The sequence below is a fragment of the Homo sapiens genome, chromosome 6 (assembly GCF_000001405.40).
Source record: "Homo sapiens chromosome 6, GRCh38.p14 Primary Assembly".
In the NCBI taxonomy this organism is placed as follows: domain Eukaryota; kingdom Metazoa; phylum Chordata; class Mammalia; order Primates; family Hominidae; genus Homo; species Homo sapiens.
The window spans coordinates 75,777,407-75,798,593 of record NC_000006.12 but is presented as its reverse complement, the minus strand read 5'-3'; the positions used below and the strand labels follow the sequence as shown (position 1 = coordinate 75,798,593).

General features: G+C 38.6%; 1 protein-coding gene across 15 annotated transcripts in view, besides 1 other annotated feature; it reads right to left on the bottom strand.

The window, feature by feature from the left end:
• MYO6 (myosin VI) overlaps positions 1–21,187 on the bottom strand; it is a 170,299-nt gene that overhangs the window by 120,944 nt on the left and 28,168 nt on the right. The window contains exon 2 of one of the 15 annotated variants that reach the window (NM_001368139.1): positions 21,024–21,141. The exons of the other annotated variants lie outside the window; for them this stretch is intronic. The gene's annotated coding sequence lies outside the window, so the exon portion shown is untranslated. The remainder of the gene's footprint in view (positions 1–21,023; positions 21,142–21,187) is intronic. 15 annotated transcript variants of the gene reach the window in all.
• Positions 16,807–16,906: an enhancer, noted in NCBI's record as "active region_24762". NCBI's record gives its function as "activates an Ori minimal core promoter by ATAC-STARR-seq in GM12878 lymphoblastoid cells {active_cell/tissue: GM12878}" and the evidence as "EXISTENCE:reporter gene assay evidence [ECO:0000049][PMID:35858748]".

The following is a 21,187-nucleotide window of genomic DNA, read 5'->3' as shown; positions in this document are numbered from 1 at the left end:
TTGAAGGTTTTTATTATGAAGGGATGCTGGATTTTACAGAAAGCTTTTTCTGCCTCTATTGAGATGATCCAATGATTTTTGCTTTTAATTTTGTCAATGTGGTGAATCACATTTATTGATTTGCATATGTTGAACCACCCTTACATCCCAGGAATAAAAGCCTATTAGATCACAGTATATTCACACTACCCGACTTCAAACTATACGGAAGGCTACAGTAACCAAAACAGCATGGTATTGGTACAAAAACAGACAGACCAATGGGACAGAATAGAGAACAGAGAAATAAAGCCCCACACCTACAACCATCTGATTTTTGACAAAGTCAACAAAAACAAGCAATAGGAAAAGGACTCTCTATTCAATAAATGGTGCTGGGATAACTGGCTAGCCATATGCAGAAGAATGAAACTGGACCCCTACCTTTCACCATATATAAAAATCAACTCAAGATGGATTATAAAGATTCAAATATAAGACCTCAAACTATAAAAATCTAGAAGAAAACCTAGGAAATACCTTTCTTGACACTGGCCTTGGCTAAGAATTTTTGGCTCCGTCCCCAAAAGCAACTGCAACAAAAACAAAAACTGACAAGTGGGACCTAATTAAATGGCTTTTAATAAAAAGTAAAAAAACAACAGAGGCTGGCAAGCCTGCAGAGAAAAGAGAATGCTTATATACTGTTGGTTGGAATGTAAATTAATTCAACCACTATGGAAAGCAGTTTGGAGATTTCTAAACTTAAAACAGAGTTACCAGCCAGGTACAGTGGCTCACACCTATAATCCCAGCATTTTGGAAAGCTGAGGCAGGCAGATCACTTGAGGTCAGGAGTTTGAGACCAGCCTGGCTAACATGGTGAAACCTCGTCCCTACTAAAAATCCAAAAATTAGACAGGCGTGGTGGCAGGCACCTGTAATCCCAGCTACTCGGGTATCTAAGGCAGGAGAATGGCTTGAGCCCAGAAGGTGGAGGTTGCACTGAGCCAAGATCATGCCACTGCACTCCAACCTGGGCAACAGAGTGAGACTTAGTCTCAAAAAAAAATAAAAACTAAAAAAAAATACATATAACAGAGCTACCATCTGACCCAGCAATTACATGACTGGGTATATACCCAAAGGAAAATAAATCGTTCTACCAAAAAGACACATGCATTCTTTGAACATAATATGCCTGCTTAAAAATAAATACACACACTGGACGCAGTGGCTCACGCCTGTAATCCCAGCACTCTGGGAGGCCAAGGCGGGTGGATCACTTGAGGTCGGGAGTTCGAGATCAGCCTGACCAACATGAAGAAACCCCGTCTCTACTAAAAATACAAATGAAATTAGCCAAGCATGGTGGTGCATGCCTGTAATCCCGGCTACTCAGGAGGCTGACGCAGGAGAAGCGCTTGACCCCAGGAAGTGGAGGTTGAAGTGAGCCGACATTGTGCCACCGCTCTCCAGCCTGGGTGACAGAGCAAGACTCTGTCTCAAAAAAATAAAATTAAATAAATAAATAAATACACACACAGAAAAAGAAAAGACACATGCCCTTGTATGTTCATCACAGCACTATTCACAACAGACATGGAATCAACCTCGGTGTCCATAAACAATGGACTGGATAAAGAAAATATAGTACACATACACCATGGAATACTATGCAGCCATTAAAAAGAATGAAATAATGCCCTTTGCAGCAACATGGAGGCAGCTGGAGGCCATTATCCCAAGTGAAATTAACACAGGAACAGAAAACCAAATACAATATGTTCACACTTACAAGTGGGAACTAAACACTGAGTACACATGGACATAAAGATGGGAGCCAATGCCAGGTGTGGTGGCTCATGCCTGTAATTCCAGCACTCTGAGAGGCCAAGGCAAGAGGACTGCTTGAGTTCAGGAGTTCAAGACCAGCATGGGCAATATAGTGAGACTTCGTCTCAATTAAAAAAAAAAAAAAAAAAGATGGGAGTCATAGACATTGGGGACTACTAGAGGGGGCAGAGAAGGAGGGGGAAAGGGCTAAAAAACTACCTATTGGGTACTGTCCTCACCACCTGAGTGATGAAATCATCTATACCCTAAACCTCAGTAGCACACAGTATACCCATGTAACAAACCTGTACATGTACCCCTGTATCTAAAATAAAAGGTGAAATTATAATTTTCAAAAAAAAACTCAAAGATGTGAAATTAAAAGCTGAAATACTGGACATAAATGTTACTTAGTAAGACTGGAGGGTGTACTGAGAGGAAGAAGGGGGAAAAAAGTATGGTGGAAGACAAAGCCTGACAGATAAAGGCAGATCTATGCCAAGGTGTAAACAGCCTTAACTCTATTCTACAGACAACTGAGGGTCACCTAATTAGATATGCATATTAGAAAGGTCACTGACCATATTAGAAAGGTCTCTGGTAGAACAGAATGGTAGGCAATAATCTAATATGATGTGGGAAAAAAGCACCAAAAGCAGGGCACCAGATAATAGCAAATAATTAGTGAATTCATAAACAAGGAATTAAGTAATTTAATAACTGACTGGGTATTTCAAATAAAATTAAAAGAAAACTTCATACCTATGAGAGATTTAATTCTTTATGTATACAGATTGTTGAGTATCCATAGATCTTATGGGACTTTGTGTCATAAACCCATTAAAAAGCAAATTCAGTAGAGCAATCATCTTTTAATAATGCTATTACTCAGCAACTAGATTTTTCTGACTGTTCCAATCTGTTGGAATGTAAATACCCTCAAATCAGATCTATTCATCACTTGCCCTCCAATTTAACATTTTGCACAAATGTGCCGGATTAGTAAAATTAAAGAAATACAGTAATATAACAGATTCTCAAAACATGGATAAAAATACAAAGTTTATCCAAACAGTTGGCAAAGTTTAGGTGGGAGTCAGGTTTCTTTTAAAGTAGATTTCTATAAAATTCTGCTAAGTAGCCAATAAATCAAACATTATAATGGGAATGTCTCCCAGTGGAATAGTATGCCTGGATTTTTTAATTTTCAGACAAAGACTTGAGACAGACACAATTTATGCATTACTGAGATCCTCTATAAAACCTGATAAAACCATAATGGTTTTGTCAAGGCACTTAAAAAGTTACTCAAACAGTTAACTTTTCATAAACAAAAATAATCGATCATACTGATTATATGATCCAAAGCTCCATACACCTTCCCAGCTCATAAAGCATGGCAATATCTCAAAGGAATGTTATTTATGGGTTAAAAAGCTTCAGTTTCCCCGGAGTTAAAAGTAAGCAAACTTTTGGTTTTTTTTAAAGTAGATCTCACAATAAAAACCCTCTCCTCTACGGTGCTGCAGGCATTTTGCCTTGACTCCTAACCACCAACATAGGATGATTTCTTTTAAAGCTGCTGCCTTCCGCCTACACCAAAATTCATTCTCGAGTCTTTACACTAACAACTTTAAGTCCGTAGGCATTAAGGTCAGATAAATCTAAAGTTTCAGAGTAGTTCAAGTACTCAGTTACTATTTCATAATCTCAGTCATTCTCTGGAATTAATTACACAGTGATTATTCAACAATTAAAATTCAACTCAGCTACAATTTGGTCTCACTTCACAAGAATTACCATCCTGGAATAGAATCCATTAGAACTACTGAGAATTCTTCATGAAGGATGAATTTCTTTGCATTGAAGGCTTAAGCCTTTTTTTCTTCAGTTTAGTTGTTCACAATGAAGTAGTATTAATTACAATCTTCTCACAAGGTCCATTCAATATTAACAGTGATTCACAAAGACGCATTTTATATTAATTTTCTTATTAGGTGATAAAAGAGCACATTTTATTTTTTTTTTTATTTTTTTTATTTTTTTTGCTTATATAACCAACAACAGTGCCTCCCACCCCTCCTTCCCTTGTTTGGCTGCTCTCTGAAACTACTGCCAGCTATTATTCTGGGGCTTCCCTTCACTGCTCGCTCCTAGGTACGTATTTGAGTCCTTTCATGCTCAATAGGGTCTTTGTTCTACCTTCATACTTAAATTACTGATTGAACACACACATATAATTGAGTTCTGGGTTGAAAGTCATTTTTCTTCAAGATTTTGAGAACATATATTTTAGCATCCAGAACTGCTATGCCTTTTAGGTTCCTGATTATTCGTACCCCTTTTTATTTCACCCCTATTACTTGAAAGCTTGAAGGATCTTGCCTTAATCCTGGGTGCCCTAAACTTCCATGATAATATGGCTCTGTGTTGCTTGAATTCATTGTGCTACATACATTAAGAACATGTTTAGTCTGGAAGCACAAATCATACAATGAGGAATGTTCTGATATTCTTTCTATTTTTTAGATGTCTTCCTATTCAGTTCTTGCCTTCTGAGGTCTATAATTTAATGTTCTCCTTCTATAAGATTGCCACTCTTACTCTTGCCTCTTTTCTCTTCTATTACCTATATATTTATCCCTTTATTCCACCGTCTTGGGAATGTCCTCCACTTGACTTTCTAACCCTTCCACAGAAAATTTTATTTCTACAGTCACATTTTTACTTTCCCTCCATTGTCTCTGATTACTTCTGGCTGCTTTTCTCCTTCTATTGCTTTTTTCTTTCTCATGGAAAGGCTTTTCTCAACTTGTTTTCCATTCATATTTAGAAAGTCACTAAGTAGCTAACCAGCAGCTCGATGTAAGTACATGGAGACCTATGACTTCATTCTAGAGTAACTGGGCACATCTAACTTTTTGGTAGGGATGTTCCCAACTATGTAATTTTTTTTAATTCCTATACTATCATTCTAATGATGTTTCAGAAGAGAAAGAAGATATAAATGTACGTAGACATTCTCCATGTTTATCAAGAAGTCCAATGTTTAACAAGGAAACACATCTTTATAGAATAATTCACTGTTAATTATTTTCATCATTGCCTTGGGAATGTTTAATAAAGTTTATTAATCTGACAATTTTACATTTCTCATTTTAATTTTTTTTTCTTTTTTTTTGAGAAAGTGTCTGTCGCCCAGGCTGGAGGGTAGTGGTACGATCTTGGCTCACAGCAACCTCTGCCTCCCGGATTCAAGCAATTCTCCTGCCTCAGCCTCCCAAGTAGCTGGGATTACAGGCGCCCGCCACCATGTCTGGCTAATTTTTGTATTTTTAGTAGAAACAAGGTTTCACCATGTTGGCCAGGCTGATCTCAACTCCTGACCTCAGGTGATCCACCCGCCTTGGCCTCCTAAAGTGCTGGGATTACAAGCGTGAGCCACCACACTCAGCCCATTTTAATCATTTTTTAAGCCTCAATCCTTAGTAATATAATTGTCTTATATAAGAATTGTAACTTAATCTTTAAAAGTTTGCTGTAAAATGCATTTCAGGTAAGTGGATTATGTTGTCACTGACTTGTATTCTAACTTTCATTATAAAATTGGAAATATTTTCCCTAAGGGGAAACAGGACTAATCCCAGGGTACAGTAACATCTTTTGAGATCTCTGAAATTTTAAAATCATTATGCACAGTGACTCGTGCATATAATCCCAACACTTTGGGAGACTGAGGTGGGAGGATCACTTGGGGCCAGGAGTTCAAGACAAGCCTGGTCAACATGACGAGATCTTGTCTCTACAAAAAAATTAAAAAAAAAAAATTTAGCTGGGTATGGTGGTGTATACCTGTAATCCCAACCATTTGAGAGGCTAAGACAGGTGAATCACCTGAGCCCAGGAGTTCAAGGCTGCAGTGAGCTATGATCACACCACCACACATTGGCCTGGGCAACAGAGCGAGATCCTGTCTCTAAAGAAAATAAACAAAATAATTATGAAAAGAAACTAAGTTTCACAGAAATGTTCAAATATACACAATAATGAAAAAGCACAACAATGTAAAAATATAGGTACCCGAAACTATCAGAACTATTATTACTGCTGATCATTCCTCACATATTATACCCACCACCTAGTGGCAATCCCACAAAAAAAAAAGTAATTTTTCAATATTTGAAAATGTTATATTCTAAATGAAGAGTTCTACAGCTCGATACAAGCAGAGGTAGAAATAGGAAACGTCAAAGAAGCTCTACCACTCTAAATAAGCCAGAGAGAAAACACTGTTGTTATTTTTTGGCATAATGACAAAAATAAATGGGATCTTTAGTTTCCATGGCACAAATTCCCCTTTTTTCCCTTTGTAAAAAATAAGTATACAGTCCACCTTATATTCTTGAGAATAATTTAACAGCTTCTTTTGTTAACAAGATACTGATAACCCCTTCTCATCATCCAGGGTAACTAATTAATATCTATAAAGTGAAATCATTTAAAATGTGCTGGACTGGATCAAGCCATGAAATCCATCTTAATCTAAAACTTAAAAACTTAGAACCAAGTAGCAACAGTAATTATAACCGACTGATGAACCAATTTTTCGGCAGAACATCAGAATTTAACTGTTTTTATAATATGAACAATCCATAACCAGTGTTATTGTTTTCATTTCCAAAAACAAAAACAGGCAGGAAATTTAAGTGACTCATCCATAGCCACATAACAGAGCACTAGGACAAGGCTCCTCTTTGTCCATCAACTGGCTGTCAACTGAACTGTGCCAACCCCTCTACTTTCTTTAAAAAATCTGTTTCTATCAGAGCCCACTGTAGAAATATTTTGCCACAGAAAAATTCTGCGTTTTAATAAATATTACTTAACATCCAATTTTCTGTTCCAAAAAAATGATTCAAGTATGCACTGTAATATATATTGCTGAAAGCCAGTTTAAAATAGCTAGGATTAGTGTAGCTCAGAAGTAACCAATTTTAAATTGTTCAAGTTAAACAATTTTAAAACGTTCACAAATAAATAGTAACAATTTTAAACTGTTCATGCCAAATGCTTCTGCTTCACAAGTATTCAAACACATCCTTATGACATAAAATCAAGATATCTTTTTTCATTCTTAACATCAGTTGAAAAAAGTCAAAGTCTCCTTGATCGAGTACTTTTTACTAATGGAATAAACTTAAGACAAAAGGAATATAGCAGAATCTTTGTTTTATCATTTAAGTCTCGATTTTTTTAACCACTTGGAATAGCACATATTATTACATTTTTAGGATATACTATTATAATTTTAATAATTTTCAGATAATCAAGTTTCACAGCCTTACACTGGTTAGAAATCATTAAAATTTTATCCCAGCATTAAAAAGACAACAAACATTATACATATTGAAGTCATAATTCTTTAAAACATTAAATCTCACCTTAAAAATCAACAACTGAGCAACAGATCAAAATTAGAAATTCACAGGATTCCAAAACTTTCTAACTGCATCAATTATTCTTTACAATTAAAAATACAGCTATTAGGCCGGGCACGGTGGCTCACACCTTTAATCCCAGCACTTTGGGAGGCCAAGGTGGGTGGATCACGAGGTCAGGAGATCAAGACCATCCTGGCTAACACGGTGAAACCCCCATCTCTACTAAAAATACAAAAAACTAGCCAGGCGTGGTGGCAGGCGCCTGTAGTCCAGCTACTCGGGAGGTTGAGGCAGGAGAATGGCATGAACTCGGGAGGCGGAGCTTGCAGTGAGCCGACATTGACCCACTGCACTCCAGTCTGGGCCACACAGCAAGATTCCATCTCAAAAAATATCTCTATATACAGCTATTATATTACTATGAGGGAAAAAATAAATCTCACAATTAAAAATGTCATGACATCTGCATAATTACATCTGTTCTTCATTTATAATTTACTTATTATCACAAGAAAATGCCAGAAACTTATACACCAATTATCTCCTACAAAAATTAATGTGATCAAATGTTCAATCTAATCAGTAATCCAAAAAATATATACTAAAATGAGATGTTATCATTCTTTTGACATGGTCCGAAAAATGAGATACTATTTCTGGCCAGGCGCAAGTGGCTTACGCCTGTAATCCAAACACATTGGGAGGCCGAGGCAGGCGGATCACTCGAGGTCAGGAGTTCAAAACCAGCCTGGCCAACATGGTGAAACATCTCTACTAAAAATTTAAAAATAAGCCAGGGGTGATGGCACACACCTGTAATCCTAGCTACTCAGGAGGCAGAGGCAAGAGAATTGCTTGAACCCACGAGGCGGAGGTTGCAGTGAGTGAGCCGAGATCGTGCCACTGCACTCCAGCCTGGGTGACAGAGCAAGACTCCATCTCAAAAAGAAAAAAAAAAAAAAAGGAGAGAGATACTATTTCTGCCTACAGAATTAGAAAACAAATTTATTGTGATACTCTGCTAATGAAGATGGAATTTACACATTTAAGTATTGTAAACAATTTAAATTGGTATAGTAGTTTTGAAAAGCAACATGACTATATGCATATACATCAAGAGTCATAAGAAAGTTTAGACTTTTTGACCCAGTATTTTCACTTCCAGGCATCTATCCTTAAGAAAACAATCAAAAGTTTATTTATACAAGACTCAGAATCAACCTAAATGCCCATCTACAGGTAAATAGTATTCCGCCACAAAAAAGAATGAAATCCTGTCATTTGCAGGAACACAGATGGACCTAGAAGATAATATATTAAGTAAAATAAGCCAGGCACAGAAAGACAAACACTGTAAGAACTCACTCATACACGGAATCTAAAAAAATTGATTTCATAAAAGTAGAGAGTAGAATAGTGCTTACCAATGAAAGAGGGTGGAGGACAGGGGGAGGACCAGGAGAGGTTGTTCAATGGGTACAAAGTTATAGTTAGGAAGAATAAATTCTGGTGTTGTTACACAGTAGGGTGAATACAGCAAATAGTAATGTAGTGTTTATTTCAAGATAGCTAAAAGAGACTTTGAATGTTGTTACCACAAAGAAATGACACGTTTAAAGCAGTAAATATACTTTGATCATTATACTACATATACAAGCACTGAAACATCACATTGTACCCCATAAATATGTACAATTATGTGTCAATTATAAATAAAAATTAATTTTAAAAAAGCTTATATTCTCCGAAGCGGCAGTTAACAAAAAAAAAGAGGTGGAGAGGGAGGGGCAGGTGAAAAACAAAACAAAGAAAAAAACTTGGAAATAAATATTTAACAATAAAAGGTAATTAACTAAATTATAATACGGTATAATTCAGCATTCGAAGAGTGAACAACCACAGGTTTGATTACTCAATACGAATTACCATGAAAAGCTATGACATACAGTGAATAATATGTACATGAAACCTGTTATGAGGATTAAATGAAAGACCATGTATCTCCAATAGGCACTTTTTCACACATTAACACGTTTAAAATTGAGATGTATTTAGCATTTGATGATGTGTCATTACTTAATTGGCAGTGACTTTTTTCTTTCTTAGCAGTATATAAAATATTAATTGTGTACCTTAGAATTCATGATATTTTAGATTCAATGAAACCTGGTACTGTAATGAATTGAAGATCTAAATTTGAAAGGCAGAAAGTACTTTGAGGTTGGTAACCTGAAACTAGACATCTAAATAGCAAGTGAGTCTAGAGACCTCTCAGCATCTTCCTTCATTTCATCAGTAAAACCTACTTGCAGCATACTGAATAATGTTCATTTTTGGGTTTTGTGAAGAAGTTACATTGCATATGAAGGAATATCATGTTGCCTTTGCTTTTCAAAAAATTTGTTTAATAGCATGACAAACGCTTATTTCTTTCCTCAATTCCTTAATTCCACCTTAATTCCTTAATTCCCTTCTCCCACCTCCTTCCTCAGGTCCACACTCTCCAGCCTTCTCAACTGCTCCAAGTTCCTCCAAGTATTCCAGGTTTATCCCATCTCTACGCTTTAGCTCAAATGGCTTCTTCTGACAAAATCATTCTGGACCGGAGGCAGTGGTTCATGCCTGTAATCTTAACATTTTGGGAGTCCAAGGCAGGAGGACCACTTGAGGTCCAGAGTTCAAGACCAGCCTGGCCAACATGGTGAAACACCTTCTCTACCAAAAATACAAAAATTAGCTGGTATTACATTACATGAATCGGATATCCCCACCATCAGGGTGCTTCAGTTTAGTGGGGAGAACATAAGTAAATACAAGCAATATCGTTTTTTTCAGGATCTGCTGGAAGAGTGTGTGGGGGACACAGTGGGAATAAAGGTGAGAAAGACTGGTGGGAGGAGATTGGGCTGAGGCAGAAGAAGCTCAGGGAAAGATGATGCTAGAACGTGGTTCTGGAATGACTTTTTGTTTATTTTGAGATGAGTCTTGCTCAGTTGCCCAGGCTGGAGTGCAGTGGCACGATCTTGGCTCACTGCAACTTCCGCCTCCCAGGTTCAAGTGATTCTTATGCCTCAGCCTTCCAAGTAGCTGGGACCACAAGCACCCACCACCACACCTAGCTAATCTTTTGTGTTTTTTCACCATGTTGCCCAGGCTGGAAACTTTTGCACTGTTAATGTGCCAAATTCTAATGATTTTTTTAAAGTCACATTTGTTGAGGTATAATTTACATATAGTAAAATTCAACTTCTTAGGAGTACAGTTCAAGATACAGAATAGGCCGGGCATGGTGGCTCAAACTGTAATCCCACAAGTTTGGGAGGCCAAGGTAGGAGAATTACTTGAGCCCAGGAGTTCAATACAATCCTGGGCAACATAGTGAGACTCCTATCTCTACAAAAGACATAAAAATTAGCTGGGTATGGTGGTGCATACCTGTAGTCCCAGCTACTTGGGAAGCTGAAGTGGGAGGATCACTTGATCCCAGGAGGTTAAGGCTGCAGTGAGCCATGATTGTGCCACTGCACTCCAGCCTGGGCAACAGAGCAAGACTGTCTCAAAAAAAAAAAAAAATACATATATATATATATATATATATATATATATAGAGAGAGAGAGAGAGAGAGAGAGAGAGAGAGAGAGAGAGAGAGAGAGAGAGAGAATAGTTCCATTCCCCCATATATATATATATATGGAATAGTTCCATTCCCCCAAAAAGTTCCCTCATGCCCCCTTTGTAGTCAATTTCATTTGCCTTTCTTAGCTCCTGGCCACCACTTATCTGATTTCTGTTATTATGGAGATTACTTTTGCCTGTTCTAGAATTTCATATATATGGAATCATGTATTCCTGAGTTCTGGTGTCTTTCACTTAGCATAATGCTTGTGAGATTCATGCATGTTGTTGTGGCTGTCAGTAGTTGGGTTCTATTTACTGCTGAGTAGTTTTTCACTGCATGGGGTTATTTGCTTATCTGTTGATTTGCTGATGGATACTGGAATTGTTTCCAATTTGGGGTAACTATTAATAAAGCTGCTACAAATATTCACATGTGAGTCTTTGTGTAGACATTGCTCTTGGATAAATACCTGGGAGTAGGATTCCCAGCAGTATGGTAAGCAACATATGAGAGTTCCCATTGTTCGACATCCTTGCTAGCATTTAGTAGTATAAGTGTAAAAAATTTTAGCCTTTCTAGTGGGTGTGTAGTGCTATGTCATTGCATAGGCATCTTTACAAAATAAATGGCCTGAACTCCTCAAAAATTTTAAGGTCGTGAAACACAAAGAAAGGTAAATAACTATTCCAGATGACGTGAGACTAAAGCACTAACAAGTGAATGCAGCGCAGAATCTGGGACTTATCTTTGCTATGAATGACATGCTTCAGACATGTGAACTCCGAAAACAGTCTGCAGATTTTAAAGTATAGTAGTGATAACTGTTACCTATGGTCAGATGAGATAATGATTCTGCTATCAAGAAATACACACTGAAGTGTTTAGGGGTAAAGGGACAGCATGTCAACTTACAGTCAAAAAGTTCAGAAAAAAAGTTGTGCAAGACGTGTGTATATGTATGTATATGTACAGAGAAAGAGAAAATGATAAAGAAAATGTGGTAAGGTGTTCATCTGAGAAATCTGGGTAAAGGGTATGCAGGAATTCACTGTACAGTACAGCCCTTGCAGCCCTTCTGGAAATATGAAATTAAGAGCAAAATAAAAATGAAAAGAAAAAATATATAGGAATACTACAAAGAAACTATAAAACATTATTAAATTAACAAAGACCTAAATAAAGTAAGCAACACACTATGACCTTAGGTGAGAAGACTCAATGCTACTGAAAATGTCAGTTCTCTCCAACATGATCTCTAGGTTGAATGCAATCCCAATTAAAATTTCAACAGATTTTCTTCCAGGAACTTGACAAGCTTATTCTAAAACGTATGCAGAAATGCAAAGGCCAAGAATAGCCAAGACATTCTTCAAGAAGACCTAGACAGGAAGAAAAGATTTACTATAAAGCCACAATAAAACAGTGTGGTAATAGTGCATGAACAGACAGACCAAGGAAAAAGAGCAAAGATTTATATATATATAAATATATAGGCTGGGCACAGTAGTTCACACTTGTAATCCCAGCACTTTGGGAAGCCAAGGCGGGCAGATCACCTAAGTCAGGAGTTTGAGACCAGCCTGGCCAACATGGTGAAACCCTGTCTCTACTAAAAAACACACACACAAAAAAAATTTAGCTGGGCGTGGTGGCAGGTGCCTGTAATCCCAGCTACTCAGGAGGCTGAGGCAGGAGAATCACTTGAACCTGGGAGGCAGAGGTTGCAGTGAGCCAGGATCGCACCACTGCACTCCAGCCTGGGCAACAGAGCAAGACTCCATCTCAAAAAAAAATTGTTTTAATTTTAAAAATAAATATATAAATATTTACTTGATTTAATTTACAACAGAAGTAAGCAATGCAGATAATGGGGAAAGATGAACTTTTCAATAAATGCCACGGGGACAACTGGATATCCACTTGGGGGTAAAAAATAAAATTTGAGTCCTACTGCACATCATATACAAAAATTATACATAGGTGGGTCATACATCTATATGTGAAAAGCAAACAATAAAGCTTCTATAAGTTTGTATAGAAGATTACCTTCATGATCTTACAATAGGAAAAAAAAAAATTAACAGAACGCAAAAGCCAGGCAGTGGTAGCACGTGCCTATATTCCTAGCTCCACGGGACGATCGCTTGAGCCCAGGATTTCGAGGCTGCAGTCACGCCTGTGAATAGCCACTGCAGTCTGGTGTGGACAACACAGTAATACCCAGTCTCAAAAAAAAAAAAAAAAGAAAAGAAAAGACCAAAAAACAAAACAAAACAAAAAACTAGGATCCAAAACAACATTAATCACAAAGGAAAAGATGTATAAATTTGACAAATTAAGAACTTGTGTTCTTAATTACTACACTATACTACTTCCTCCAAAAGAATACATTTCAGGATAATTTCCAGCTATTCTTATGACTTTCTTTTTAAATAGGAGAAAGCTTGCTACTCTGTGCTTCCAAAGATTAGCCTGGGAAAAGCTACATATAAAACCAATGTAACTTGTACATTATACTAAATTCATTCCTCTGTTTGCCCAGCAATAGAACAGACAGCAATTAATATACATCCCTCTCTCTCCCTTTTCCTGAGTTGTAAGAGCCTGGCATACAGTTGATGCTCAATAAAATATCCCTTGAATAAATGACTAGATGAAAAAATGATAATTTACATTTACTTAATTAAAAACACTATATAAATCCATATTTGGAGAACAAATGAAAGTGTGCACTGAATACTAAAAGCATAAGGAATTATAAAGTAACTCCTTACATTATTACACTGCCCCCCACCAATTCCAAGGATTAACAAATTAAACCACAAATCACTTTTAGTTTCTCTATAACAAAGTTTCAAACTAAAGCTACACCCCGCAATCTTCAGCTGATACTTTATTCCTCAGCTCCACCCTCTTTTTTTTTTTTTTTTTTTTTTTTTTTGAGACGGAGTCTCACTCTGTTGCCCAGGCTGGAGTGCAGTGGTGCGACCTCGGCTCGCTGCAAGCTCCGCCTCCCGGGTTCACGCCATTCTCCTGCCTCAGCCTCCCAAGTAACTGGGACTACAGGCGCCCGCCACCACACCCAGCTAATTTTGTTTTTGTATTTTTAGTAGAGACGGGGTTTCACCATGTTAGCCAGGATGGTCTCGATCTCCTGACCTAGTGATCTGCCCACCTCGGCCTCCCAAAGTGCTGGGATTACAGGCATGAGCCACCGCGCCGGGCAAACTTCCCTTTCACTTTGCTCTTCTCCATACTGCCATATCCTATGGAAAGCTGGCTTTCCCCAGCCTGATTCTATTACACTCCTAATTCTGGCTTTCAACTTCACTTCCATTCTCTGTGTCCAATCCTATTTTTTTTTTCAAACTTCCCTCCCAATTCCAAGTCCCTCAAATAAAGTCTCCCCCATTCAGGATCTCTCTGGCTACTCATATAAAAAGTCATGGCTGGGCACGGTGGCTCACACCTGTAATCCCAGCACTTTGGGAGCCCAAGTCGGGCGGATCACGATGTCAGGAGATGGAGACCATCCTGGCTAACACGGTGAAACCCCGTCTCTACTAAAAATACAAAAAATTAGCCGGGCATGGTGGCATGCGCCTGTGATCCCAGCTACTCGGGAGGCTGAGGCAGGAGAATAACTTGAACCCGGGAAGCACAGGTTGTAGGGAGCGGAGATGGCGCCACCGCACTCCAGCCTGGGCAACAGAGCAAGACTCTGTCTCATAAATAAATAAATAATAAATAAAAATAAAAAAGTCCCTCCACCATGATCCCACTTAAGACAAACTCTGATAAACAAGAACTATACTCAAACTTCTTTCCTCATCCCATCAACCATAAGGCAGAAATCTGACCTCTTCCTAATACACAGCCTTTTTGCTCCCCTCACCTTAAAAAATTCACAAATAAAGGTCATGTAATTATGTTGTGGTCTAGATGATAAATTTCCAACTCTTTCATAATGCCTGCAAACACTAAATGATCATCAAAATGATAGGTGGATCCTAGGCATTAATAAAGGAACCTTGACTTTATTGTCAAAATAATCAATGTTATTGACCTTTTAGACACAGCCCGAGGCCCTTACTAATTATGGTATGTGTCAACATTACTGAGGTAAGTGGGATATTTTAAATGGCAAAAAAAAAAAAAAAAGAAGATATCAAATGTCATCTCAGAGATGGAAACTATCCCTTCTGGAAAATATGTCATTATTAAAATAAAGACCTCTACCCTGTGAGCCATCATCAAAATACCGGAAGAGAAAAAGGGAGAAATGCTGAAAGCACCACTTAACAAGTCTACTTCGACGTCCTAATTTCCACAAGTTGGGTTACCGGTTCAGTGAACCCAACCATGTGACCCAGGCAATATTTCCCATTCAAAATCAAAACAAGACCTTGTGCCTATAGGCTATTTCCCAAAGGATAGAAAAACTAAAACTTTAGGAGAAAACTAGAGGCACTCTGAGGAAAGACTAAAAATCTATCTGGGAGGCCAGGCTCAGTGGCTAATACCTGTAATCCCAGAATTTTGGGAGGGCAAGGGAAGAGGATCGCTTGAGCCCAGGAGTTCAAGACCAGCTTGGGCAACATAGCAAGACCCCATCTCTACAAAAAAAAATTAAAAATTAGCTGGGCATGGTGGCGCATGCCTGTAATCCCAGCTACTCCAGAGACTGAGGTGGTAGGATCACTTGAGCCTAGGAGATCAAGGCTGCAGTGAGCTGCGATCATGCCACTGCACTCCAGCCTGGGTGACAAAGCAAGACCCTGTCTTCTCAAAAAAAAAAAAAAAAAAAAGCTAACTAGCTAACTGAGGATTATCAAGGACTATCACTTGTTCTTTTGTGAAAAACTAAATTTGCAACAAGTAAATTTCAGAGAGGTCCATCCACAAAGACACTCAGAATCCTTGGCCAGACAGAGAGAATTTGTTTTCAGCTTAAGAGATAGTATGCACAGCAATAATAGATAAAGGGCAAGAAAACAAGGACACATAAACACAGGCTAAAAAGGGAAAAGAGAAAGAAGAGAAAGGAAACTTGAATCTAGAGATGGGATAACAGAGCAAGAATGAAAAGTGTAACAAGCAGAGCAACAAACTGGTTAAGAGAATGGTAAGACATTCAGCACTGAAAACTAAATGAATAGCAGGCAAGGAAGAAATTAGAGATCCGTAATAATCACCATATGAAATGACTCAAGTATAAACCTTTTTCTTTCCATTTTTCCTTTTAACCAGCTATAAAGAATGACAAAAAAAATACTTTCATGCTGTCCTGCCCCTTCCAAAAAAAAAGAATTAAAAAATTATGTGGAAGCAGCAGCAATAAGAATCTTGAATATAATAAGGGTAAGAGACAGTAAAAGACAGTGTAAGGTAAGAATTTATCTTGGTATAAGAAACCAAGATAAATCCACAAAATCTATGACAATATAAAACTATTTTAAACTGACACACATTAAGGTAATGTGTACAGTAATTGCATTTTGGTCTATCATTAAATTCAAACAAAATCCCCAGCACAAAGTCAGATTCAAAATGCAAAGGAAAATATGTTTTTTGAAATTTTCATTAAGCCAGAGAACTGAGCAACCCATCCCAAAGTCATCTCAATTTCCTGCCCATACTTTATATGACTCACCTCACTATAATATTTAGAGTAAGGTTACTCAGAATAATTAGTTTCACTCTGAACTCCAGCACCAGTCCTCATCTGTCCACACGTGGTTTAGGTGACACGCCACTCCCCCCATTCCTTTATCTTTTTTTTTTTTTTTTTTTTTTTTTTGAGATGGAGTCTTGCTCAGTCGCTCAGGCTGGAGTACAGTGGCGCGATCTCGGCTCACTGCAAGCTCCACCTCCCAGGTTCAAGTGATTCTCCTGCCTCAGCCGCCCGAATAACTGGGACTACAGGTACCTACCACACCCGGCTAATTTTTCTATTTTTAGTAGAGACAGGGTTTCACCATATTAGCCAGGCTGGTCTCTGAACTCCTGACCTCGTGATCCACCTGCCTCAGCCTCCCAATGTGCTGGGATTACAGGCATGAGCCACCCACGGAGCCCCCTTTGTCTTATCTTATCTTGAACAGAAACAGTTTCTCCAAATGACACTGGAGGAAACACATGCAACCTTGAAAACCTGGAAAGCTGAGTTATCCCCAGCAGAGATCAACGTGTCAACTCCATGCTGGAGATGGAGGAACTCAAAAAATATCCCTCTCACTGTTACAGAATGGGTCAAATTCTCCAAGGGTATCCTCTATACGTAGCATATCTGCTGTGCACAAAGGCCACTGAAGAGTCACCATTCCATGCACACAATTTGTACTCCTGCCAGAAAGACCTCTCCCCTATTCTTCCTGTATTGCATTTCTACTCTCTGCTTCAAAAATTAAGCAAATCTCTCCTCCTCCCCGAAGTCATTCACTCTAACCCTTCTCAGGATTAGGTACCCCTTTCTATGAACCTACTTTTAACTTTACATAGTGTTAGTCTCTCTCTGCTTTGTTTTCTACTTTATTCTCAAAATAATCAATTTTACTGACCTTTTAGATGCCCAAGGCCCAATTTTGTTATTAAATTTTAATCTCGGCTGGGCACGGTGGCTTATGCCTGTAATCCCAGCACTTTGGGAGGCTGAGGTGGGCGGATCACTTGAGGTCAGGAGTTTGAGACCGACCTGGCCAACATGGTGAAACCCTGTGTCTACTAAAAATACAAAAATTAGCCAGGTGTGGTGGTGTGCACCTATAGTCCCAGCTACTCTACTCGGGAGGCTGGGGCAGGAGAATCACTTGAACCTGGGAGGCGGAGGTTGCAGTGAGCCGAGATCAAGCCACTGCACTCTAGCCTGGGTGACAGAGCAAGACTCTATCTCAAAAAAAAAGAAAAAAAAAAAGTTTAATCTCTCCTTAGAGTTTAAGGTCCAGGATTACATACTGCTTATTCATAAGCAGCCAGTATCTAACATAGTATATCATATAGAGGGAATTATTAAATATTTGTTGATTGAAGGGATGAGTAGTAAATGCCCTCTTCAACCCAAATGGCTAAACATAGCTCTATGTTCAGTTAAAACCTGTAACAAAGTTTCAGAGAAGATTAAAGTTTCTGGAGGAACAGATGTATATCAGTATTAGTTTATCTTCACAAAACTTCAAATCCAGCATATACCTTATGTTGTCTCTATAAAGAACAAAAAAATTAATATCAAGTAACATTTTCACATCACATATTTATTTATTTTATTTTATTTATTTTTGAGATAGAGTCTCGCTCTGTCACCCAGGCTGGAGTGCTGTGGCACAATCTCGACTCACTGCAATCTCCGCCTCCTGGGTTACAGTGATTCTTCTGCCTCAGCCTCCCAAGTAGCTGGGATTACAGGTGTGCACCACCACACCCAGCTAATTTTTGTATTTTTTAGTAGAGACAGGGTTTTGCCATGTTGGCGAGGCCGGTCTTGAACTCCTGACCTCAGATGATCCGCCCCCCTCAGCCTCCCAAAATGCTGGGATTACAGGCATGAGCCACTGCGCCTGGCCACATCACATATTTAAAGTGTGCTGATTTAACAATGATCTTTGCCACTACCCAATTTTTTTTCCTAGACCTCCAGCCCCCATTACCCAATTATTTTGCAACAAGTAGATTTCAAAGAGGTCCATGAAGACAGTCAGAATCCAGAATCCTTGGCCAGACAGAGAGAATTTGTTTTCAGCTTAAGAGACAGTACATACAGCAGTAAGATATAGGGCAAGAAAATAAGGACACATAAAAACAGGCTTAAAAGGGAAAGAAGAAAAAGGAAACTTGAATCTAGAGATGGGATAACAGCAAGAATGAAAAGTGTAACAAGCTACAGCAACAAACTGGTTAAGAAAAAGGTAAGTCATTTAGCACTGTAAACTAAACGAATAGCAGGCAAGGGAGAAATGAGAGATCTGTAATAATTACCACATGAAATGACTAAAGCATAAAACCTTTTTCTTTCTACTTTTCTTTTTAAACAGCCATAGAAAAAGAATTTAAAAAAAGAAAACACTAAGGTTAATGAACACAATATATAGTTCCTAAAGTGAAAATGACATATTACAATAAAGTATCAAAAATGAAAGACAACTCAGTCAATTAAAACAGATATGCTGTCTCAAAATGCATTTTTTTAAAACAACAGTTTTTATTAAGAATTTTTTTTTTTTCAGATGGAATCTCACTCTGTCACCCAGGCTGGAGTGCAGTGGCACAATCTTGGCTCACTACAACTTCCACCTCCTGGGTTCAAGCAATTCTCCTGCCTCAGCCGCCCAAGTAGTTGGGACCACAGGCACTTGCCACCACGCCTGGCTAATTTTTGCATTTTTAATGGAGACTGGGTTTCACCATGTTGGCCAGGCTGTTCTCAAACTCCTGACCTCAGGTAATCTGACCACCTCGGCGTCCCAAAGTGCTAGGATTATAGGTGTGAGACACTGCACCCGGCCTCGTTTTTTATTAAGAATTTACACCAGGCACAGTGGCATGTGCCTGTAATCCCAGCACTTTGGGAGGCCAAGATGGAAGGATCACTTGAGGTCATGAGCTGGAGACCAGACTGAACAATGTAGCCAAACCCTATCTCTTTTTTTTTTTTTTTTTTTTTTTTTTGAGACAAAGTCTCACTCTGTCATCCAGCCTAGAATGCACTGGCGGGATCACGGTTCACTGCAGCCTCAACCTCCTGGGCTTAAGCAATCTTCCCATTTCGGCCTCCCAAGCAGCTAGGACTACAGGCATGCACCACCATACCCAGCTGATTTTTTTATTTGTTTTTTTGTAGAGATAGGATTTATGTTGCCCAGACTGGTCTGAACTCCTGGGCTCAAAGGATCCTCCTGTCTCAGCCTCTCAAAATACTGGGATTACAGGCGTGAGCCACTGCAGCTGGCCTCCATTTTTTTTTTAAGTATTTAAAAAAAGAAAAAAAAGAATTTCATTAGCAAACAAACTCAAATGGCAACAGAAGTAATTAGGAGAATAATTAGCTTATATTCTGGTTCACTTTCAATGCCTTTTTTTCTCTTCGGGAAATTAGAAAAAGGCAGAAAAAAAATTTTTTTTTTTTTTTGAGACGGAGTCTCGCTCTGTCACCCAGGCTGGAGTGCAGCGGCACTAACTGGGCTCAATGCAAGCTCCGCCTCCCGGGTTCAAGCCATTCTCCCGCCTCAGCCGCCTGAGTAGCTGGGACTACAGGCGCCCGCCATCACGCCCGGCTAATTTTTTTTGTATTTTTTAGTAGAGACGGGGTTTCACCATGTTAGCCAGGATGGTCTCAATCTCCTGACCTCATGATCCGCCTGCCTCGGCCTCCCAAAGTGCTGGGATTACAGGCGTGAGCCACTGTGCCCGGCCAGAAATTTTTTAGAACTATTTATTTTACTTATATTCACTAAGCCAATACAAGACATATATATAAACAAAATACCATAAAGCAATTAAACAAAACTGTTGACTTACTGCAAAATTCTTAAGAAACCATAAAATATAGAAGACAATATACTATATTCATTGGGTGTGATGATGTACGTCTGTAATCCAGCTACTCAGGAGGGTGTAACAGGATGATCACTCAAGCCCAGGAGTTTAAGATCAGCTTGGGCAATACAGCAAGACTCTGTTTCAATTTTTAAATTAAAAAAAAATACCATATTGTACAATATTTGTAAGGTGTCTTATACCTTGGCCATTATAAGTAATTAACAATCAAAATATCCATTTCTCTAAATCAGAATATAATATGGTGTCTTGATTCTATGCTGTATTAAACTGTTTTTTCAAGTTTGAAACTGTCTCCCACGGTCTTGGCCTTCAAATAATTTCATTCTGGAAACTGAAGAACAAAGAATACTTTTTTCTTTGTATTATAAGCTAAACTAAAATGAATTGGGGGCAGGGAATAAGTGTTTCTTCATATAAAATCACAAACTTGGCTGGGTGCAGTGGTTTATGCCTGTAATTCTAGCACTTTGGGAGGCCACAGGGGGCAGACAGATTGAGCCCAAAAGTTTGAGACCAGCCTGGGCAACACAGCGAAACCTTGTCTCCACAAAAAAAAATATATATATATAAATTAGCTGGGTGTGGTGGCGCATACCTGTAGTCCCAGCTACTGGGGAGACTGAGGTGCCAGGATCATCTGAGCCCAGGAAGTCAAAGTTGCAGTGAACTGAAATTGCGCCACTGCACTGTAGCCCAGGTGACACAGTGAGACCCTGTTTCAAAAAAAAAAGAAAGAAAAGAAAAAGAAAAAAAGAGAAA